At 52.0% G+C, this 22,404-nt stretch overlaps 2 protein-coding genes across 2 annotated transcripts, besides 5 other annotated features; one reads left to right on the top strand and one right to left on the bottom strand.

Annotated features, from left to right (window-relative positions):
• Positions 1,656–2,283: an enhancer, noted in NCBI's record as "H3K27ac-H3K4me1 hESC enhancer chr1:42638778-42639405 (GRCh37/hg19 assembly coordinates)". NCBI's record gives its function as "activates a minimal SCP1, AML or CMV promoter by ChIP-STARR-seq in primed H9 embryonic stem cells {active_cell/tissue: H9 hESC(primed)}" and the evidence as "EXISTENCE:reporter gene assay evidence [ECO:0000049][PMID:30033119]".
• Positions 1,656–2,327: a biological region, named in NCBI's record as "H3K27ac-H3K4me1 hESC enhancer GRCh37_chr1:42638778-42639405".
• Positions 2,110–2,327: a silencer, noted in NCBI's record as "fragment chr1:42638734-42638951 (GRCh37/hg19 assembly coordinates)". NCBI's record gives its function as "represses an EF-1alpha promoter that drives an FKBP-Casp9 reporter gene in an ReSE screen in K562 erythroleukemia cells {active_cell/tissue: K562}" and the evidence as "EXISTENCE:reporter gene assay evidence [ECO:0000049][PMID:32094911]".
• Positions 2,678–2,972: an enhancer, noted in NCBI's record as "tiled region #9331; HepG2 Activating non-DNase unmatched - State 18:Pol2, and K562 Activating non-DNase unmatched - State 14:Gen5'". NCBI's record gives its function as "activates a minimal TATA promoter and a strong SV40 promoter by Sharpr-MPRA in HepG2 and K562 cells {active_cell/tissue: HepG2 | K562}" and the evidence as "EXISTENCE:reporter gene assay evidence [ECO:0000049][PMID:27701403]".
• Positions 9,821–10,785: an enhancer, noted in NCBI's record as "H3K4me1 hESC enhancer chr1:42630276-42631240 (GRCh37/hg19 assembly coordinates)". NCBI's record gives its function as "activates a minimal SCP1, AML or CMV promoter by ChIP-STARR-seq in naive and primed H9 embryonic stem cells {active_cell/tissue: H9 hESC(naive and primed)}" and the evidence as "EXISTENCE:reporter gene assay evidence [ECO:0000049][PMID:30033119]".
• Positions 10,645–12,700, top strand: GUCA2A (guanylate cyclase activator 2A). The gene is made up of 3 exons (NM_033553.3): positions 10,645–10,752; positions 11,780–11,987; positions 12,420–12,700. Exons 1-3 carry the CDS (start codon positions 10,678–10,680, stop codon positions 12,482–12,484), a joined length of 348 nt encoding a protein of 115 aa, NP_291031.2. The 5' UTR covers positions 10,645–10,677; the 3' UTR covers positions 12,485–12,700.
• Positions 12,701–19,569: 6,869 nt separating this feature from the next.
• GUCA2B (guanylate cyclase activator 2B) lies at positions 19,570–21,980 on the bottom strand. Its single transcript, NM_007102.3, has 3 exons — positions 21,850–21,980; positions 20,524–20,710; positions 19,570–19,855 (listed from the first exon to the last, which is right to left on the bottom strand). The coding sequence occupies exons 1-3, from the start codon at positions 21,937–21,939 to the stop codon at positions 19,794–19,796; spliced, it is 339 nt and encodes a 112-aa protein (NP_009033.1). The 5' UTR covers positions 21,940–21,980; the 3' UTR covers positions 19,570–19,793.
• Positions 21,981–22,404: the final 424 nt, after the last annotated feature.

Here is a 22,404-nt window from a genome sequence, read left to right as displayed (position 1 = left end):
CATGATCTACCCAAAGCCTCAGGCTGCTGCTAACGTAACCCACACAATGCCACCAGAAACATCTTTGGCAGTTTTACAGATAGGGAAACAAGGCCCAGAAAAGTTAACCTGCCCAAATTCTCACAGCTAATAGAGGAGCTGGAATAATTCAGTCCAGACCTAACTCCAGAGTTCATTTCCTTTTACCTCACTGCTATCTAAAAAGAGGAATTTTCCCAAAGCCAAGGATAGTGACTATCCTCCGTGTGTGTGTCCATGTGTCCGTGTGTGTTCCTTGGAGGGAAAGCTGTGCTTCACTCCCATCACAGGTAAGCATTTGTCATTCGCGGTGCCTCTGAAGGACTGTAGTAAGGGCACCACTAAATGTAGTCACCTTGTGCTGATTCAGATGCAGCTGAAGTATACTTCTGCTGATCAAATGAAAAGGCGATTAAGATGCATGTGTAATTCTCAAGGTTTTAAGATACTACAGTGTGCAAAGGGCTGCTGTTTATAGATGTGACCCTTATCAGTTGGGTAAAGGAGTCCTGGAAAAACCATGTAAGCATCAGTTAACATTCACTGAAGGCTTGATAGCTTCTTGGCCTTTTGGCTAAGATCAAATGCATTGAAGGTTTGACTGCATTAAATGCCCTAGAATTACAGCACTATCCTAAAAGCTTCAAGCTGGAAGGGGCCTTAGAAATCAACTAACACAACCCCCACATTTTGTTGTTGGAGAACATTGAGACCCAGAGAGGGAAGGGTCTGCTCACGTTTCACACAGTTAGTTAGGGAAAATTTGGGGGAAGGGAATGAAAGTCATTTGTCTGGCAGCGATTTAAAATTCCTACACATACTGTCTTATTTGATTGCACAATAGTCTGATGATGTAGTACTGTTACTGCCCTCATTTTACAGAAGAAGAAACAGCTTTGGAGAGGTGAGACACAATGGAGTTGTATCATGAATGCGTTCAATCAAAGCATGTAAATTCAGTTGTATATACTTGGCCAAAGAGAGAAGGAATGGAAATTTTAAATAATGTAATGGTGGAGTATCCACCTGTGATGGACATGTGCCCCTGAGTGTGAGATGGAAGATTCAAATCTGAGTCTATAACTGGTATTTGCTTCCATGTACCTTCTGCGTGAGCATCTCATTACTGAGTCAATTCCGGTGGATAAAGAGACATGTGTTTCGTGCAGCATTGTCTTGGGTTCAAGCCAGCAGCTTCCTCCAATGCTCAAAGACAGACTTCAACCAAGAACTAGAAAAACTGGCCGGGTTGGGCTTATTGAGACATGTTTATCCACAAAAGTGCTGCCTTCCCAAAGGATTTTCAAGAGTGATTTTTGAGCTTACCTCCTTGGACTCTTCCCTTAATATATGTGACTAGTCAACATGTACAGAGCAGAGACTTGGTAGCTGACTGCGTCAGAACCAGAATTCAACCCTAGGTCAGGGCTTCAACCCCCAGCTCTCCTGCAGTACCCCTAAGCGATGCTGACCTCAGAAGTACAGAATTGGACAGCTACTCTTTATTAAAAGTTCCTGTTACTTAATATTACTTATCCTAAGCACCTGATGTGGATTATCATACTTACTCTTTGAAGTAACTGTGTGTAGTAGATACTCTTATTATCAACTTCATCTTGCAGAGCCACAGAAATGAAGTCCCTTGCCCAAGGTCATCCAGCTTGTAAGTGGCACAGGTAATAATAGCAACAGTAAAGCTGGGGTTTTGAACCTAGGCCATTCAGCTCCAATGTCTGCGCCATTCACCACCACATTGTGCTGTTTCAGGCCCTGTTCCCGGAGCGACCAGGCGGAGAATGAGGGCCTTAGAACAAAGCCAAAGCTACTTTGCAATTAGGCTGTAGTGAGTGCCTGTGGCCACTAGGGGGCGGGGCTGCCGGCTGTGCACCTTTCCTCTTTTGGAGGGTTTCCTTTACCCTTACTTAGGGCTGTGCTCCCTTTCTCTGCAGCCCCCAGATTTTGGTGCTCCTAAAGAAAGGTAGGGATTCCACTAGCCAGCCTTTAGAATCTGTGCTCCTCCTCTCCTGTGTCAGAGCTTGCTGGAGGAAGCCAAGGAGCCTGTCTAGTTCTCGGCCACATACTGCTGGGGCCCACTCTAGAGCTGCCTCTGAAGTCTGCTGCCCCGTCCCAGCCTCCTGGTGCCTATGGCTCCCCTGCTCCAGGACTCAGGTGGGAGAAGGTGCCCAGTGTCAGCCCCACACTCTGAGGCTCCTCAGGCTCTGCTCCTTCCTCTTCTGGGGCCAGCTAATGCTGGGGGCTGGCATGGTTTCTGCAAGCATACAGAGGGCTGTGGTCCAGCCAGCCATGCGCCTTGCCCACTGGGCAGCTACCCTTGCCACCCCCACCAGCCCTGCCTCTGAGCCGGAGCAGGCCTTGTCTCCACTTGTACACCAACTCCTGCGGCTGTCACAAACAACGATGGTTATTGCCACATTTGCCAGGTCCCTGCCTGGCACTGGACAGCGATTATCTGAGTGAGCATGCCCAGATGCCTTGTGAGGTTGGTGTCATTATCTTTTATGGCTGGACATTGCCAACTCAGAGAGGTGAAGTGATTTGCCCAAGGTCAAAGCCAGCGAGCGAGGCTGGCAAGAGGACAGGAACCCACATCTGCCCCAGGCGTGCCTGCTCTTCTGGAGGGCGTGCTGTCTCTTCCATAGCACTTCCCAGCTGCCCTGACCACCCTCTGGTCACCCTACCCCAGAGGCAGGCCTGAGCTGGCCTCATGGTAGACGGATGGCACCACTCTCACCCCGCATCCCCCAAAGGTCAGAGAGGCAACTTCCTGTCCCAGACAATGGCAATAAATATGTCCAAGGACACTTCCCAACCTTCCCATGCCTGAGTGACAGGCCTTCCTGGAACAGCCCTCTGTTTCCGTGTGACTGTGTGTGTGTGTGTGTGTGTGTGTGTGACCATATGTGAGCAAGGCCTTGTGTGCGTGTGCTCGTGTGCTTGTGTGAGCGTGTGAGTCTGTGGCTGAGCATGTGATACGTTGTAGCCTGTGTGATAGTGACTGGGACTTTGTGTATCTGTGTGTGCCCATAAAGGAGACAGGAGACAGGAAGATTGCTCCTCAAATTTGATGACTTGATAGCCACTCCCTCCTCCCACTAGGATAGGGGAATTTGCAGGAGGAGGGAGACGCTTGCCTGGATTGTAGCTGGGTTCACAGGCACTGTCAGGGTTAGACCTGTGGGTCTGATACACATTTTCTTATCACATCCCTGGCTTGTCCTTGTGGCTTTGAGGACTCCTCCCTCCGTTATCCCTTTGAGCTAGATCCCTGATCTATACCGGCTCCTGCCCCCAGGCATCCCCCCGCCTGCTGCCCTAAAGCTTTTACACCAGAAGTTGCTCCAAGAACAGCAGCTTAGCCTGCATGTTCCCTGCAGGTCCCATAGGCTAGCAAAATACTTGAGGCAATGGGAAGAATTCAGAGTTTGGAGTCAGAAGAAGCTAGAATTCTGTTTGGGTAAGACATTGCCCTCTCTGAGCCTCAGTTTGCTCATCTGTAAAATGGGGATGCAATACTTCACCTCAACGTGTTATTGAGACCATCAGTGAGGAGTCAGATGGCAAAAGCTGCCCTGGCACATATTAGGTTCCCAGGGGCGGTCTTCCCTTCTCTGTCTCCCTCCCTCTCCTCTCCATCTGTTGCCAAGTTGCCAAGACCAGTTGCTTTTCCTGCCATTCTATGCTTCCAATCCACCCCCTGCCCTTCTGGGGCACTGCCAGGGGTGGAACACAGACCTCTCCTGGACCCATGCAGCAGCCATCGCTAGACAGTCCACTTTTAACGCCAAGTGCCAGGGCACTCCTTCTGAATCATGACTCTTACCAAGGCCTCCCCTACTCTGAAAACTCTTGTAGCTCCCTGCTGTCACCAGGTGAAGGGCAAAACTCCTCAGCCCAGTGTGTGAAGCCGCCTTCTCTGGGCTGCTGGCCCATGAGTCCTTGAGACACCCTCTGCTTTCACCTCAGCCGCCCCCGCTTTGCCATTTATGCTTCCTGCTGCCAGGCCTTTGCCTCGCGGCTCTCCCCTCGATGGGTCCAAATCTTCCCATTGATCAAGACCTGTTGCAAATGCCACCTTGTCAGGTAAAGCATTCTCTGATCTGGTGCCAGGAGGACTGGTAGCCTCGGCTTGTTCCTCCCTCATCCCAGGGAGTCTGTACCCATGCCCTACCCTCCCTGTAGCCTGTGGGCTCTGCGAGCGTCTTCTATGGGGGCAGGTGGAGGGAGCTCCAGCTGTGCTCTCCTTCCCTGTCAGCCTTTGGGTGTGGGAGGTTGTCTTGGTGGCCAATGCCCAAAGCAGGCTGGGGGATGCGGGAGAAGGCTGCAGCTGCTGTCCCACTGAGGGGGAGCAGATGGTGAACGGAGTTTCTTCACCGCCTCTTCCTGGTGAGGCCACAGGGCCCTGAGATGACATCGCTGAGCAAACAGCCAGGCACGCCCCCTGCCCACTCCCCAGCTGCCCCCTGGAGCATCAAGGGAAAGAGCCGGGCCACCCAGGGCCTGGGGGTGGGGGAGAGATCCCTCCACCCTAGCCTGGACTTGGGCTTCAGCCAAAAGGCTTCCAATTCCAACTCAGCCATCCACTTTCTGTGTGACATTGAGCACTCTTTCTGAGAGCCTCAGTTTCATCCTCTAAGATGGACATCATTGACCTACCTCACAGGGTCTGACTCAGTGGCGACTCCTTTCTTTTTCCTTTTCCCTAGAAGGGGGCAAAAATGGGTGTTTGGGACCAGGAAGACAGTGCAGAGGAATGGGATGGACTCAATAGAACTTTAGGCTTTTCTTTGGCAGTTGAAAGAAATGGATTCTGTTCTGGGATTTCTAGCTACGTGACCACAGTTGCCACCCAGTCCACCTGGCAATGAGTCTGAAGTATTGTGCTTTCCTCTAGGCTGAGGTAGTCGCATGCTTGTGTCCACACTTATGCTCTCTGTTGGTCGGGTACCCTTGTGCAGTGCACAACCAATACAACTGTACACAGCATCCCTGTATGCACCTTTGGGAAAATTATACTTTCTTAACCTCTCTGAGCTTCAGTTTACCCATGTATAAAATAGGGTTATGTAGTTATTTCTTAGGTGTTTCCAGTGCTGTCAGGAGGTTCACATATATTGTAATGTCTGCCTCAGGCAGTTCTGGATTCTTATAGGAACCAGAGATTGTTACACCCTCCAAGACACATTTACAAGCAGGTTGGAGAGGCTGTGTATTGTGGACCACACCCCTTTCAAGGTTACACAGATCTGTATTGGAGTCTTCAGGTTCCCACCTGGGCTCTGTTCCAGGCCTTCCTGCTGAGGTCCGATTAGGCCTCTGGGCCTGTGGGAATGGGGGGACTGAGGCTTAATGGTCCCAATTTTAATGTGCACACAGGAGCCATGATAAGATCACCTAGACACAAGAATCAAACATCAGCATCTTCACAGAGACTGGAGGGCTGCCCCAACAGCAGGGCAGAACCTCTGCAGCTTCTGGAAGTGGGTGAGGGGTGGCGGGGCTTTAGGGAGCAAGACTGGCTTCCACACTTGTAAAGCACTTGGCCAGAGCCTGGCACAGGGTGAGTCTTGACAAATATTAGCTGCTGTCATTAATGTGATGATCATTGCAAACATTACAACCTGCCTCATTCTTTAAAGACTCAGTGGTACCTACTAAGTGCCAGGCCTTGTATGAGTACAGGGCCTCAGTTGAGTAGGACACAGTCTCTGCTTTCAAGCAGCTCCCAGGGCAGTAGGCTAGACAGACAATTTGCTAAGTTTTGTGATGGCAAAGGTGTAGGAGGCTGGTGGAGCTCAGAGGAGTAGAAATGGTCTTAACTCGGGCTTGCCAGGGCTGGGGTCAGTTAGGAGAGTCTTCCAGAAAAACTGAAATTTGCAATCTAGCTGTTATTGTCTCCATTTTTTAAAGCAGAAACTGAGGCTCAGAAAGGTCATGGAGCATTTTTCCTCGCTCTGTCGCCCAGGCTGGAGTGTGGTGGTGCGATCTCGGCTCACTGCAACCTCTGCCTCATGGGTTCAAACAATTCTCCTGCCTCAGCCTCCCGAGTAGCTGGAACTACATGCATGTATCACCATACCCAGCTAATTTTTGTATTTTTAGTAGAGACGGGGTTTCACTATGTTGGCCAGGCTGGTCTTGAACTCCTGACCTCGTGATCCACCCGCCTCTGCCTCCCAAAGTGCTGGGATTACAGGCATGAGCCATCGCAAGCCTGGCCGGTGACACTGGATTCTAATACAGGGTTGCCTGGCTCCGAAGCCTGAGCCCTTGAAGCCACAGCACCCCAGGTTTAAGTCCCTCCTTCTGGGTCCACTCCAGGGAGTCCTTTGGGATCCTGGTTGAATGGAGAGCTCAGCAGGGGCCTGATCACAAAAACCCTGAATGCCAGGCAAGGGAGGCTGGCTTTCTTCCAAAGGGTTTGGGCAGCCACTGATGGGTTTTCAGAGGGGGAGGCAGGCAGGACAGGTGGCATGGCCTGGAAGGCTATTAGGAGCAAGAGTTTGCCAGAAAAGGCAGTCTTGGAGTGTGGGAAACCCAAACAGCCTCAGACCCTCCTTCTGCCCATATGGAAGAATGAGGGATGTGGGGGTGCTGGGGACCAGGGCCTGAGGACTCAGGGTGTAGGCTGGGGTGGGAGGCAGGAAGCTTGGAGTTCTGGGAAGAGCCCAAGATCCAACTTCCAGCAGCTTCAGAGCAGGCTGCAGAGGTCCTGAGCACCCTGGAGGTTCAGAGGGGAGGGGGCCTGAACTCACGGCTGGGGCCAGACTAGGCAGAGGGGCTTGGGGAACAAGGGAAGGGGAGTTGGTTCCCATTTCCCAGGGTAGAGGTCAGAGGTGGAGTTGGGTAGGGGAGGACCCTAAGGGCCATGGCCTAGGAGTCACTTCCTCTTTCCCACAGTGTGGAGTGATGTCACTCCTGAACCCACTCCATTCCATCCCTGCCTTATAGCAGGCAAGCCTTGGCCAGGGGGGCTGTGGGAGAAAGAGGCTCAGGGATGAAAGCCCCTGCCCTTTACCCCCATTCCTGCCACAGCTTGGGAGGGGAAAGACCAAAATGAGTCAGAAAAAACAGGTCCTCAGCCTGGTGGCCCCACCTAAGCCCCATCCTTAACTGAAAGTCAAATCCCAACCCAGCTGTAGCGTCACACTTAAGCCAGACCCACCCCCATCATAAACCTAACCCAGTCACACCTCCAATCTCTGCTGCAAACTCAACTCCAATCCCAGTCCTGCCAATGAGCCCTAACCTAGCCCAAACCAGCCTCCACGTCAGTTACAAGCACCACATCAGTTCAATCTGGACTGCGCCCTCGGCTCCACACCTAACTCTAATTTACCCCTGCCCAACCTCAGCTCCATCTCAACCTGACCCTAATCCAAACCAACTTTAGTGTCGCCCGAATTGACCCCAATCCCAACCCCGCTCCGGTCTCCGCAAGCCCCGGCTCCAGTCTAGCATGGAGCTCAGCCGCACTCCCGAACTTCTCCCGGTGTTCATCCCCACCCCAGCCTCCGAAACTCCTGCCCCTCACCTTTCCCCCAGCTCCATCCCCCGACATCCTGTTGCTCAGCATCCAAGTCCCACGCCCCGACCCTCAGCCCCATTCCTTCCCCTAACCCCACTCACTCCCACGCCCACTCCCACCTGCCCTCAGCGAGGGGACCAGTGTGTGGCTGACCTTGGTGGGCACACACACATGTCCAGGCACGCACACACACCTCAGTGTATACACACACGTCAGCACACACACACGTCAGTGCACACACACACGTCAGCACTCACACACACCTCAGTGTATACACACACGTCAGCACTCACGCACACCTCAGTGTATACACACACTTCAGCACACACGCACCTCAGTGTATACACACACGTCAGCACACACACACCTCAGCACACACACAGTGTATACACACGTCAGCACACACACCTCAGTGTATACACACACGTCAGCGCACACACACCTCAGTGTATACACACACGTCAGCACTCACACACCTCAGCACATACACGCACCTCAGTGTATACACACATGTCAGCACACACACACCTCAGCACACACACGCACCTCAGTGTATACACACACATCAGCGCACACATACCTCAGCACACACACGCTCCTCAGTGTATACACACATGTCAGCACTCACACACACCTCAGTGTATACACACACATCAGCACACACACAGCTCAGCACACACACACACCTCAGCACACACACAGTGTATACACACGTCAGCACACACACCTCAGTGTATACACACACGTCAGCGCACACACACCTCAGTGTATACACACACGTCAGCACTCACACACCTCAGCACATACACGCACCTCAGTGTATACACACATGTCAGCACACACACACCTCAGCACACACACGCACCTCAGTGTATACACACACATCAGCGCACACATACCTCAGCACACACACGCTCCTCAGTGTATACACACACATCAGCACTCACACACACCTCAGTGTATACACACACATCAGCACACACACAGCTCAGCACACACACACACCTCAGCACACACACACACCTCAGTGTATACACACACGTCAGCACACACACACCTCAGCACACATACGCACCTCAGCACACATACGCACCTCAGTGTATACACACACGTCAGCACTCACACACGTCAGCACACACACACCTCAGCGCATACATGCACCTCAGTGTATACACACACCTCGGCACACACACGCACAACACAGCAGATGCACTCAGCTCAGCATACACACACACACCTCAGTGCACATACACACACATATCTCAGTGCATATACACACATGAGCATACACACACACATACCTCAGTGCACATACACACACCCCAGCAGACACCCCAGCAGACACACATCCCAGCAAACACACACACCTCGGTGTACACACACGCGCCTGTGTATATACACACTGACACACACACACCTCGATGTATATATGCACACCTCCTTGCACAGACACAGATACCTTGGTGTACACGGACACACATATACCCCTCAGCATACACACACATACACCTCAGCATATATACACATACACTCCTCAGTGTACACACATGCCTCAGCACACACACACCTTCAGCACAAGCACACATACAAACACACCTTGGCTACACACACCCATCAGGGTATATACAGACACCTTGGCATACACAGACATACACATCTCCGCAGACACACCCCCCCTTAACACACACACACACACACACACACACACACTCACCAGAAAGGGGTGGGAAATCCAGTGCAGCTGTGAGGACTGCCCTGGGAGCTGGGCCAGGAGCTACCTGCCCCTCCCTGAGGGCCTTGTCCCTGCAGTTCCCTCCTGGTCAGGCCCTGCTCTCTCCAATTCCCTCTTCAGTGTTGACTCTCCCCACCCAGGAATTCCTGCCCAACCTCCCGCCCTAGGGCTGTCCTGGCATCGGGCCAGGTTGGCTGAGTAGAAAGATGACAATCCCAGGGCTACCCTTTCTCCTGTGTCCTGGGGATTCCTGCTCACAACAGCACACAGTGAATGCACGCTGCCCTGAGGGCGCAGTCTGAATGGGGTCAGAGTCTATAGGGGCGCGGGCACACCCAAGCAATTCCCCAGTGAGATCCGCGGAAAGGGGACTGTATCTGCAGGGGCAAGGGGGGCGGGCGGATTGGGGAGGAGCTCATTCGAGGACACCCTGAGGCTGCAGGGCAGGCAGGACAGGATGGGGACCAGCACAGGATGGGGACAGCCTGTGACTCAGACAGGCAGGAGGTCACCAGAGGGGCCAGGGAGGACCAGGAGCTGCTGTGGCTGCTAATAATATGGGAATGGACCTCTGCTGAGCACCTTCTGTGTGCCAGGCATTGAGCTAAATGTTTTTAAAACCTCACTTGATTCTCCAAACAGTAATGCCTACCACACACCTACCCCATGAGGTAGGTATTATTTTTGGTTCCCACAGGGGACACAAGGGACAACGAGACTCAGAGAGGGGAAAGCATTGGCCCAAGTTCACACGCCTCACAACTGGGCAGTAGGTGGAACGGAACCCAGGCTGTGCGGAGGGCTTCCTTGAGGTCGCGGCAATCAAACCCAGACCCTGACTTGCCCTGCAGCCTCCCCCGTGGAATTTCTCACATTTCCCTGAATATTCCAGGCCCGTCTCACCTCCTGGCTGTCCCTTTGGCATGAAATGGCCTTCTGTCCTCAGTCCCTTCTCTGGGAAAACTTCCACCCATTCTCCAGAGCTCAGCCCCCAGTGCAGCCCCGTCACCTCATCCTAGGATCACCCCACCCTAATCGCCCTGCGTTTCACTGTCGGGCTGGGCCCCCCTCCTCAAGGGCAGGGTCTGCCGGCCCCACACAGCAGCACAGGGCAGTCGTGAGTGAATGTGCCTTGTTGGTGAATGAATGCAGGACCCAGCCCGGCTGTGGGTCAAAGTAGGTGCTCAGGGAGGGGCCGGGGCCCCCCCTGCCTGGCTCTTATCTCCTAGGGCTGTCTCGAGCCTTATCTGATAAGGCCTGACAGGTGAGCAGATGAGACTGACAGAGGCTTCCAGGTTACTCAGTAACCTGCCCTCTTTAAAAGTCCCGCCGCTTCCCCCTGGCATCCAGAACAGCCACCCCTCTCTCGGGCACTGCTGCCATGAATGCCTTCCTGCTCTCCGCACTGTGCCTCCTTGGGGCCTGGGCCGCCTTGGCAGGAGGGGTCACCGTGCAGGTGAGTCCTGTGTCCCTACCCCGGCCCAGCTGGCTCCCTGCCCCTAGTGCCCAGGTCTGGTCCCCTGAGAGAGTACCTCCTCTTTGGGGCTGGATTGAGGGTGTGTGTCCCAGGCTTGGCCTTCTTCGAGGAGCTCCTGCTCAGTCCAGCCACACACACACCTTTCCCTTCAACTTTGGAGGAGAAAGAAACCCAGTGGAGGGAAGAGGAATAACCATATGGGGAAGGCGGGGAGTTGGCCAATTTACTGAGTGTCCTATGTGCCGGCTCCTTCCCCAGCCCCTCACTGTGGCTCCACTATCAACCTGGAAGAAAGGGATCATTAGTCCCATTTTACAGAGGGGAAAACTGAGCCTCACAAAGGTTCTGTAACAGGCCATGGGCACATGGCTGTGGGAAGTGCAGGAGCTGGATTTAAATCCAGACCTTACTCCTCAGTGGGTCCCAGGAACCACATGGACACCCTGGAGGTCCTGACAGATGGGTATGCCTACCAGTGCCAATGCTGGCGACAGGCCAAGCTGGCACCTAGCGGGGGCCCTGATCTCTATCAAAGCCAGATTCCGGGAGGCCTTTTATTGCTTCTCAAACCAAAACCAGGCTGCAGGCTGGAGCTGGGGGCCCAGTAATCAGCCGCACCGCTCTCAGGCAGGGGAAAGACAGCCTGGGCTTGGCCACGTGGAACTACGATGCCTGGGTGCTGGTCCTTTGCCTCTCCCTAAAAATCAGCACACTGGCTCCTACTCATTAGGCACCTATGGTGTTCCTGGAGCTTCACACCCATTTTCTCCATTCCCCATACAACATGCAGAATTTGCGGGTTCCAGAGTGTCCAGCATCACGGAGCCAAGCCAGGACGTGGGGCCTGAACTCTGCCCCTCACAGTGCCCCACTGTGGATCGCCTGGCTCCCATATGCCACGAACACTGCCTGTGAGCACCACTGGGCTGGACCGGGGCCAGCACGGGGGGCACAGCCAGGAAGCAGGCTGCAGCCTGGCCTCATGCTCTGGGCTTCTCTCTTCCAGGATGGAAATTTCTCCTTTTCTCTGGAGTCAGTGAAGAAGCTCAAAGACCTCCAGGAGCCCCAGGAGCCCAGGGTTGGGAAACTCAGGAACTTTGCACCCATCCCTGGTGAACCTGTGGTTCCCATCCTCTGTAGCAACCCGAACTTTCCAGAAGAACTCAAGCCTCTCTGCAAGGAGCCCAATGCCCAGGAGATACTTCAGAGGCTGGGTGAGCAGCCTCCTTCCTCTCTGATTGGTGGGGTTCGGGAATACTGTGGTGGCACTTGAGGAAGAGATGTGCTCTGATTGGTGGGATTTGGAGGAAGGGCTCAGCTCTGACTGGTGGAACTAGGGAGCTTGGCTCTGATTGGTGGGTCTGTTCCATGCCCACTTCAATTCCAAGTTGTAACTGCTGAGGTTTGGGAACTAAGACCATTCATCTGGTCTTAGTTTCCTCTCTTTCTGGTGGAATCTCTGCTTTGATTGGTTGGTTTGAGTGGTCTGTGTGCCCTGGTTTGGGGCGAAAAGCCCAGTAGGTCAGAGTACGGGCCTGCTGAGATTCTCCTGGGGCTGGGTGGTGACGTACAAGCTCTGGGCCAAGGGCGGCAGGGGCCTCGCGAGGAAATGCTGGTTCTCACGAGGCTCCATCTCTGTTGTGCAGAGGAAATCGCTGAGGACCCGGGCACATGTGAAATCTGTGCCTACGCTGCCTGTACCGGATGCTAGGGGGGCTTGCCCACTGCCTGCCTCCCCTCCGCAGCAGGGAAGCTCTTTTCTCCTGCAGAAAGGGCCACCCATGATACTCCACTCCCAGCAGCTCAACCTACCCTGGTCCAGTCGGGAGGAGCAGCCCGGGGAGGAACTGGGTGACTGGAGGCCTCGCCCCAACACTGTCCTTCCCTGCCACTTCAACCCCCAGCTAATAAACCAGATTCCAGAGTACTCTGGGTGTTGCCTTCCTTCCTTCCTTCATCCCCTAGTCTATCCTGCCCTGGAAGCTCGGGATGTAATGTACTAAGCGAAGGACCCCACTCTCCCTGCTAAGCTGCTCACTGTCCCTGGGGCTGCCACAACACAGAGGCGTGGAGAGGATCTGGATCTCCAAACCACCAAGGCAGCGGGTGGTGGGGAGGGTTTGCTTTTATTTCACATCTCCTGAGGTCACCAAGTTCACTGAGCCACATGTGAGCACGGGAGCCAGTCTGAGCTGGTTTGGACAACCAATACAGGCACTTGGCCCACTAGAAGACTGGCACCAAACTCTTGGGTATTCAAGGACTTGGCTCCCACCAGCCATGCTAGTGTGGCCTCCAGCCCTGACCACATCCCAAACCACACCTCTTGCCATTTCCTCTGCTGCTGCTCACCTCTCCACTGCCCGTCTTCCCACACTACTGTCCAGGCAAACTCCTACTCAGGGTCCAAGGCTTTCATTCCACGGCCTCTCCTCAAGACAACTTGCTCAACCCCCCAGGAAGAGTCTCAGTGCTCCCATTGTGACCTTGACCTTGGTGCTTTCTGGGCACTGTGATCACCCACAACCCTTGCACAGCTGTGGCCACCCTGTTGTGTAATGGCTTCTGTGCCTGGGGAAGTCTCTCTGACCTCCAGACCCACATGGATAATTGCATGAGGATATAAAACAGGGCAGGGGCCCAGCCACAGCTTTTCCAAGTACTGTGTGATCTTTGGAAAGTCACCTTCCCTCTCTGTGCCTCCACCTCTTCCTCTATAAAACTGGGACACTAATATTTCCTGCCTCCCAGGCTGGGTGAAATAATGCATATAAAGCCCTCAGTTCAGGCCTGACACAAACGTAAGAGGAATTCAATAAGTGGTAAAACAAACTAGAGAAAAGGGGACCAGGATCAGGCTGAAAGTGGTTCAGACAGGGTGAGGAGGCAGGGTGTGGAAGTGAGGCCTATTAGCAAAGGTAGAGGGAACAAAAAAAAGAGGAGGCAGAACTCCCAAGGGTCCATCTTGAGGAGTGGGGTGGAGGGGAAGTGTCTCAAGGGGGATTCCATGGGCTTCAGAATTCAAAACATAAGGTCTCTTCTAGTTGAGATCAGTAAGGCTTTGTGAAAGGGGAAGGGCAAGTGCATTTGCATCACCCCTCGAGATTTGCACTGGGATGCAGGGAATTTCAAAACCAGTGTGGAAGTAGGGAGAAAGAGAGTGTTGCAGAAGGTGGGAATGGTGCAGACAGACACAAAGACATAGGAATGGTTCAGTCAGGACAGAGTGGAGCTTGGGAAGGCAGACAGGACTGAGTTTGAGCCTTACTGTGTCATTTACAAGCTGAGTGTCCCTCTCTGAGGCTTGGTTTCTCATCTGAAAGTGAGGATGATAACAGACCCTACCTCCCAAGGTTGGCGGGGGATTAAGTGAGATGTATGGTAGAGTAGAATCATTTAATGCCCTAACTCTGGAGCCAGACTCTTTGGGTATAAATCCTGGCTCTGTCTTTTACAGCTATGTGCCTTTAGGCAGGCTACCTAGCCTGTTCTCTCCTCAGTTTTCTCATCTGTAAAATGGGGAAGATAAGAATCCATATATCATAGGGTTGAGTGAAGAGTAAATGAAAAAATGCTGGAAAAATTTTTAAAACTCCCCTGGTTTTGAACAACCACTGGGTCAAATAAGAAATCAAAAGGGAAATTGAAAAGTATCTTGAGACAAGTGAAAACGAAAATACAGCATACAAAAGCTTATGGGGTGCAGCAAAAGCAGTTCAAAGAGGGAAATTTATAGCAATAAATGCCTACATCAAAAAAGAAGAAAGATTTCATATAAACAACCTATTGTTTTACCTCAAGGAACTAAAAAGAACAAACTAAGCCCAAAGTTAACGAAGAAAAGATCAGAGCAGAAATAACTGAAATAGAAACCAGAAAAACAATAGAAAAGATGAACAAAAGTAAGAGTTGGGTTTTTGAAAAGATAAATAAAATTGCAAAATCTTTAGCTAGACTAAGAAAAAGGGAGAATACTCAAAAGCATTGGAAGCTATCCCTTTAACATCAGGAACCAGACAAGGGTGCCCATTCTTGCCACTTTTATTCAACATAGTGCTGTACTGGAAGCCCTAACCAGAGCAATTAGGCAAGAAAAAAAATAAAAAAGCATCCAACTTGGAAAGGAAGAAGTTAAATTGTCTGTATTTGCAAATGACATCATCTTATGTATAGAAAACTCTAGAGACTCTACTAAAAAGCTATTAGAACTAATAAGCAAATTTAGTAAAGTTGCAGATTACAAAATCAACATACAAAAATCAGTAGCATTTCTATAATTAACAATGAATGATCTGAAAAAGAAATCAAGAAAACAAGCCCATTTAAACAGCAACAACAACAACACACATCTTAGGAATAAATTTAACCAATGATGGAAAAGAATCAAACACTAGAAAAACATAAAACATTGATGAAAGAAATTAAACAAGATACAAATAAATGGAAAGGTATTCCATATTCATGGATTGGAAGAATTAATATTTTTAAAGTGTTTATACTATCCAGAATGATCCACAGATTTAATGCAATCCCTATCAAAATTCCAATTACATTTTTTCACAGAAATAGGAAAAACAATCCTAAATTCCCCAAATAGCCAAAGCAATGTTGAGCAAAAAAGAAAAAGCTGGAAGCATCACACTACTTGATCTCAAAATCTACTACAGAGCTGTAGAACAGCATAGTACTGGCACAAAGCAGACAACGAGACTAATGGAACAGAATAGAGAGAGCCCAGAAATAAATCTACACATTTACAATCTGATCTTTGACAAAAGTGCCAAGATCACACAATGGGGAAAGGACAGTCTCTTCAATAAATGGTATTGGGACATGCAGAAAAATGAAATTAGACACTTATCTAACCTCATGTACAAAAATTAACTCAAAATGGATTAAAGTCTTAAGACCTGAAACTGTAAAGCTACTGGAAGAAGGCAGGAGCAGTGGTGAATGCCTGTAGTCCCAGCTACTCGGAAGCTTGAGGCAAGAGGATCACTGGAGCCCAGGAATTTGAGGCCAGCCTACACAACACAGTGAGACCCTGCCAAAAACAAACAAACAAACACCAAAACCCAAAACAAAACAAAGTAACAACAACAACAAAAAATGTACCAGAGGAAACATAGAGGAAAACTTCTTGACATTGGTCTTGGCAAAGATTTCTCGCCTATGATCCCAAAACCACAGGCAACAAAACCAAAAATAGACAAAAAGGAGTGCAGCAAATTAAACTGCTTCTGCACAGGTAAGGAATGAAAAGAATCTATAGAATGAGACAAAATATTTCAAATGAAACATATGCTAGTGGATTAATATCCGAAATCCATACAGAATTCAAACAACTCAATAGCAAGAAAACAACCCAATTTAAAAACAGGCAAAGCAACTGAATAGACATTTCTCTTTTTTTTTTTTTTTGAGACGGAGTCTTGCTCTGCCACCCAGGCTGGAGTGCAGTGACGTGATCTTGGCTCACTGCAACTTCCGCCTCCTGAGTTCAAGCGATTCTCCTGCCTCAGCCTCCCGAGTAGCTGGGATTACAGGCATGTGCCACCATGCCCAGCTAATTTTTGTATTTTTAGTAGAGATGGGGTTTCACCATGTTGGTCAGGCTGGTCTAGAGCTCCTGACCTAAGGTGATCTACCTGCCTCGGCCTCCCAAAGTGCTGGGATTACAGTGGTGGGCCACTGCGCCCGGTGACATTTTTCAAAAGAAGACATACAAAAGGCAAGGAGGTATATGAGAAGGTGCTCAACATCACTAATCAACAGGGAAATGCAAATTAAAATCATGATGAGATATCACCTCACATCTGTAAGAAGGACTTTTGTCAAAAAAGAAAAAAAAAGATGCTTGCTGGGTATGGGGGCACCCACCTGTATGTAATCCTAGCTACTTGAGAGGCTGAGACGGGAGGATCACTTGAGCAAGGGAGTTTGAGACCGACCTGGGCAACATAGCAAAATCCCATCTCAAATAAATAAATAAATAAATACACACACACACACACACACACACACACACACACACACACACACACTAGCAAAAAGAAAAGATAACAAGTGTTGGCAAGGGTGTGGAGAAAATGGAACCCTCACACACTGTTGGTGGAAAGATAATTTAGCATAGCCATTATGGAAAACAGTATGAAGTTTCCTCAAAAAATTAAAACTAGAAATGCCATACAATCCAGCAATCCCACTTCTGGGCATATAGCCAAAAATGCGAAATCAGTATATCAAAGAAATATCTACAGTCTCATATCTATTTCAGCATGATTCACAATAGTCAAGATATAGAATCAACCAAGGCATCCATCAACAAATGCATGGATCAAGGAAATGTGATATATATACACAATGAAATACTATTCAGCCTTAAAAAAGAAAAAATCCTGTTGTGGGTGACGAAGTGGATGAAACTGGGGGACATTACACTAAGTGAAATAACCCAGGCACAGAAAGACAAATCCTACTTGATCTCACTGAAATGTGGAATCTAAAAAAGTTGAACTCATAGAAGTAGAGTAGAATAGTGGTTACCAGGGGTTGGGGTTTGGGAGGAAGTGGGGAGATGGTAAACAAAGAAGAAGGAAAAGAAGAAGCTCCGCCAGGCCCACAGAGAGCAGCTCGTTGATGCTGGTATCATCACTGCTTCTGGGCAGCAGCACAGCCGTGTGGCTGGCACATGGCAGGACTCAGACAGCAGCACTTCTCTTTGCTGTCTCCAGCAGGCAGGTGGGAAGCCAGCGTAGCTGCAGGAAGCAGTGGGAGATAAGTCTAGATCTAGCTAGTGCACGAGCTCTGGTTAGACTTGGTAGGTGGCAGTGTGGAGCCATGGAGGAGTAGGGGCACCATCAGAGTTGTGCTGCGGTGCTCCTCTGGCATGGTGGGCATGGAGGGCCCACAGGACGCAGGGCCAGGAAGGAAGGTCTGGCCTGGCCCAAAGGTAGTGATAAAGGCCCCAGTGAGTGAGGATGGAGGGGTGAGAAGTAGGGGCCCAGAGAACTGCAGGAGGCATTGCAAAGGCCCTTCACCAGCCTTGCCTGTGGGGTGACGGCAAGGAGGAACCTGTAGTCTGGGAGATTGCAGGACTCATGAGCAGAACTAAGCTGCTGTCTTGGGCATGCACCCGGGTCTTCGGGAGCTGAGTTCAGATGGCACAGCCTCTTGGCCTCCAACTTTGCTCCTCCGCGGCTGTCCAGGACCAAGGCTTTGGGGGACCCCACTCTGGAAAGGCCCTGCTCCCAGAAGTTCCCAGCATGGCTCCCAGCCTGAATAAAGGCACTGAGGTTGGCTGCAAGGATGTGGAGGCTGCACTGGGTCCCCATGAGGCATCATCCGCTGGAGCAAGGGAGTAATATGGTGGTCAGAGCATGGACCCTGGCCCACATGTCCTGGGAAGTGCCCTGTCTTGTCATTTTGCTTGGTCTATGATCTGGGCTTAGTTTTTCTCTCTGTACCTGACTCTTCTTAGACTGGGTGGGGTGATAATAACAGTATCTGCTTCATCGGTCTGTTGTGAGGACTCCATGAGTTACCATGAGTGCCAAGTGAGTAGGATAGTGCCTGGGATAGAGTGAATGCTCAATAAACATTGGCTGTTATAATTATAATAATAATAATTATTTTTATTTTTTTTTCATTTTTTTTCTGAGACAGGGTCTTGTTCTTGTCACCCAGGATGGAGTGCAGTGCTGCAATCTCGGCTCACTGCAACATCCGCCTCCTGGGCTCAAGTGATTCTCTTGCCTCAGCCTCCTGAGTAGCTGCGATTACACGTCTGGCTAATTTTTGTATTTAGTAAAGACGGGGTTTCGCCATGTTGGCCAGGCTGGTCTTAAACTCCCGACCTCAGTGATCCTCCCACCTTGACCTCCCAAAGTGCTGGGGTTACAGGTGTGAGTCACCACACCCAGCCTATAATTATTATTATTTTTAAATACAAGGTCTTGCTCTGTTGCCAAGGCTGGAGTTCAGTGGTGTGATCACAGCTCACTATGGCCTCAACCTCCCAGGTTCAAGTGATCCTCCTGTCTCAGCCTCCTGTGTAGCTGGAACTACAGGCAAGTGCCAATACTTCTGGCTAACTTTCAATTTTTTCATAGAGATGGGATCTCCCTACGTTGCCCGGGTTTGTCTCAAACTCATGGCCTCAAGCAATCCTCCCATCATGGCCTCCTAAAGTACTGGAATTACAGGTGTGAGCCACTGTGCCTGGCGTTTGTTGGCTATTAATTATTATTAATATTCCTCAGGCTGCCAGGATGGAGAGAGGGTGGGAAGGCCTCCCAGCTGGAGCTGGCCAGATGGTCCCTGTGGGGCTGGGAAAAGTGGGAGCTTGGGAATGAGGATGAAGGCCAAGGGCCGATCTTCTCACGCAGACCCCAGGCAGAGTCGGCCCTGATTACAGCTTGGGAGGACATGCTGCTTGAATCTTCCCTCCACTCTCTCCTTCTGTCTCACCTCCTCCCTGCCCCAACCCCACTCCTGCGTCAGGAGCACAGTTGCTCTTGCTCCGAAGCTGGGGAGGCCTTGAGTTCAGCCTGGGGGTCGCCAGGTCTGGCTGGCTCTGGGGCTTCTGAGCTCTGTGATCCTGGATGCCTCATTCCTGCTCCGAGCCTCAGCTCCCTCATATTCGGGATGGGGTTCAATCAACTCCCCGGGCCTTGAAAACTTCAGGAAAATTCCTGCCTGGTATTTTTAGTCCCGTCTTTCTCCTCAATCCACACTTCTTCTCCAGAAGCTCCTCCCATGGCTCCTGGGGATGAACAAAGGACACGTGGACTCGTGTGTTGTAGAATCTTTATTCAGGAGCTGGGCTGCCTCAGGGGCCTCCCCCTCCAACTCTATGTCCGATTGCTTTGTACCAGATCCAGCTGCTCAGGCCCTGGAAGGGTGGTGATGACCATGGTGGCCAGGGACCCATCTTGAGCATGGACGGGGATGGAAGCCTGCCAGGGTGGTGGGCTGAAGGGCGAGGTGTCCCTGGTGGGCTCAGGGTACCCAGGGCTATCTCAGAGGCAGCCGGTACACGCAACGTTCACACACAGCTCACAGTCGTCGTTAGCGATGGTCCCTGGGCAGGGAGAGAACTGGTCAGTTGACCTGAACCTGGGCCCTCTGTGGCCAGGCAGCAGAAGAGGTCTGCTTGGGAATGGGCGGCATCTTCCACAGACTGGGAGCAGGAACGTCTAGAGGTGGAGTGAGGGCTTGGGTTCAAGTCCCAGATGCTCTCCTTCCTAGCGGCCACTGGGCAAGTCACTCACACTCCCTGTGCCTGAGATTTCTTGTTTGCTAAATGGACAGGGTCACTGTGAGGAGATAATGCAGGACCGACAAGTCCCGGCACACAGTAGGTGCTCAGTAAGTGCTAGCTAGTTGCTACATTCTCGTGCCTGGCTCTGCACGATCCCTCAGGTTTCAGCTTGGCTGACACCTCCTCTTGGAAGCCTTTCACACCCCTGTCCCATCGCAGATGTCAGCCAGCTCTCCTCTCTGCTCCACGCAGCCATTGTCTGTTGATGGGTCTGTGCCTGGCGTGGACTAAGGGGACGAAGCAGGTTCCAGGCATGCCTGACTCACAGTGCCCAAACCGGGGAGTCCTGGGAGCCAGTGGGACAGGGCCTGAGTTACTTGAATCTCCCCATCCTCAGCCGCTGGGTGCTTAAGAGAAACAACCCAGGTGGAGGAGCCTGGGCGTGGGAGGAGACAGAGCGAGGTTCTGCAGGGAGCGGGGGCACTTACTCAGGGTCTTGAAGATGCTGGAAGCCTCCTGCGAGGCGCAGACAGGCTGAAGGTCCTGAGGCAGAGCAGGGTGGTGGCACACGGCGGGCAGGAGGCTCTGGGCCTGCAGGCGGGGGCTGGGTGCCCACTGTGCCTCCAGGTCACTCAGCTTCTTCATGGATTCCAGCTGGACCCGGAAGCCTTGGTACTACAGACAGGGGAGAGGAGATAGGAGCAGGTCAAGACCTGGTCCAGGGGCAGGCACTGCCATGACACCCAGGGTTGCTCAAACCCTGCAGATCCTCCAGAGCCTTCCCCGTCTCTATGGGAAGTCCAGGGCCACACTGGAAAGAGCCGCTGCGGTGAGAGGTGTGAGGAAGAAGCAGCGGGGCTGTGGAGCACAGTGGTTCGAGGCTTTAGAGACAGACAAGCCCTGGTTCAAATCCCACCTCTGCCCATGACCGGCTGCCTGTCTGTTCCCCACTCAGCCTCAGTTCCCTCATCTGACATCTCCCGTGGGGGCCTGGTACCAGGGCACAATCACTAACTGAGTACGCCTGCCTGAGCTCACATGGCAGAGTGATGGCAGCCCCAAGTAGCTGGTCTCTGAGGCCAGGGCTGTTGGGGAGGCCAAGTCTCCTGCACCCCTCTCTGGGACCCACTTTGTTCTTCCCAAGGAGACCATGCCCAGAGTCAGGGATGTGACACCCAGGGCCACAGACGTCTCTGCTATGCTGGGCGAGGCCAGCAGCATCCCCTGTGACGTGGCAGACAGGCCCTGCTGTGACGACTACTGCCACTCTCCCATGCCCCCTGGAAGGGCACTGGAACCCCCATAGTCTTCTATCTGGTCTTTGCACATGCTGTGCCCCTTGGCCTGGAACAGTTTCCCCATCATCTGTGTCTGGCAACCTCCTGTTCATCTTGCAATGCCAGCTCAAGGGTTACTTCTCAGGAAAATTTTTCTGGAGCCTGTCCTCCTCCACCTACATGTGGGTGAATATACGGAACTGTGGGAGCATAACAGGGTGTCTCCTTCCCTTTCTGGCCTCCTCCCATGCAAGGAGGAGCCTTCTGTTCCACACCCTGACCTCTGTGACCAGCACGGGCCTTTGAGGGGAGCAGCGCTGAATCAGTTTGGTGTTGTCATTGCCATCATCACTGCCATCAACATCTGGCTGCCCCCACCCACCAGCTGCCTTGGTCTCTGGGCTGTGATGGGTGTTGGGCTGAGCCCCGGGCCCCGTGCTCCCCCGGTGCCCCTCTGAATTCCCAGTACACCCTCTCCAGCCTAGCCTCCCACCATGGGGCCCTTCAGGCAAAGGGAACGCTGGCCAAGGGACTCACCTGGATGTAGACTGACTGTGTGCTCTGCAGCAGCAGCAGGAGGACCACGGCCACTCCTGGCAGGAGCCCTGATGCAGCCCTGCAGCCCATCGCGCTCCCTGGGTTCCCCCTGCCGCTGTCCACCGTCTCCCATCTGTGTCCCTGCCTAGCACCTCCTTATAGGTCAGGCTCAGGAGTCCTGGTCACTCATTAACTGGCCAGCTGGGGTGGGGTTGACAGCTAGCTGGCTCTCTGACAAGCCGGGGCTGGTTCCTAGGAAGGGGGTTGGGGGCGAGGAGGGCAGGAGCCCAGAGTCTATGGGAACACAGTGCTTGAACACCGAGTGCCTGCCATGTGCCGGGCTCTCCATGGGGGCCTTGGAGCACACCATCATTCACTCCTCAAGACACCTGTGTGGGTGTGATGACGGGGAGGCCATTTTACAGACAGGAAAAGTGAGGCTCAGGAGGGAGGGTGGCTTTCCCCAGGTCACGGAGCTAGTTAATGTCAGAGAAGGGGCTCCAGCCAGGTGTCCTTGGCCCAGGTCAGCCCATGGTCCTTTCTCTGGGGGAAGGA

The sequence above is a fragment of the Homo sapiens genome, chromosome 1 (genome assembly GCF_000001405.40).
Source record: "Homo sapiens chromosome 1, GRCh38.p14 Primary Assembly".
Classification (NCBI taxonomy): Eukaryota; Metazoa; Chordata; class Mammalia; order Primates; family Hominidae; genus Homo; species Homo sapiens.
This window is presented reverse-complemented; position numbering and strand designations above follow the sequence as displayed.

Bases quoted from the DNA above. Each gene is read 5' to 3' on its own strand.
- GUCA2A (NM_033553.3), top strand. From the start codon at position 10,678: ATGAATGCCTTCCTGCTCTCCGCACTGTGCCTCCTTGGGGCCTGGGCC. The intron at 10,753-11,779 runs GTGAGTCCTGTG...TCTCTCTTCCAG, and splicing joins CAGGAGGGGTCACCGTGCAG to GATGGAAATTTCTCCTTTTC. The intron at 11,988-12,419 runs GTGAGCAGCCTC...TCTGTTGTGCAG, and splicing joins GGAGATACTTCAGAGGCTGG to AGGAAATCGCTGAGGACCCG.
- GUCA2B (NM_007102.3), bottom strand. From the start codon at position 21,939: ATGGGCTGCAGGGCTGCATCAGGGCTCCTGCCAGGAGTGGCCGTGGTC. The intron at 20,711-21,849 runs GTGAGTCCCTTG...CCCTGTCTGTAG, and splicing joins CACAGTCAGTCTACATCCAG to TACCAAGGCTTCCGGGTCCA. The intron at 19,856-20,523 runs GTAAGTGCCCCC...CTCCCTGCCCAG, and splicing joins CAGCATCTTCAAGACCCTGA to GGACCATCGCTAACGACGAC.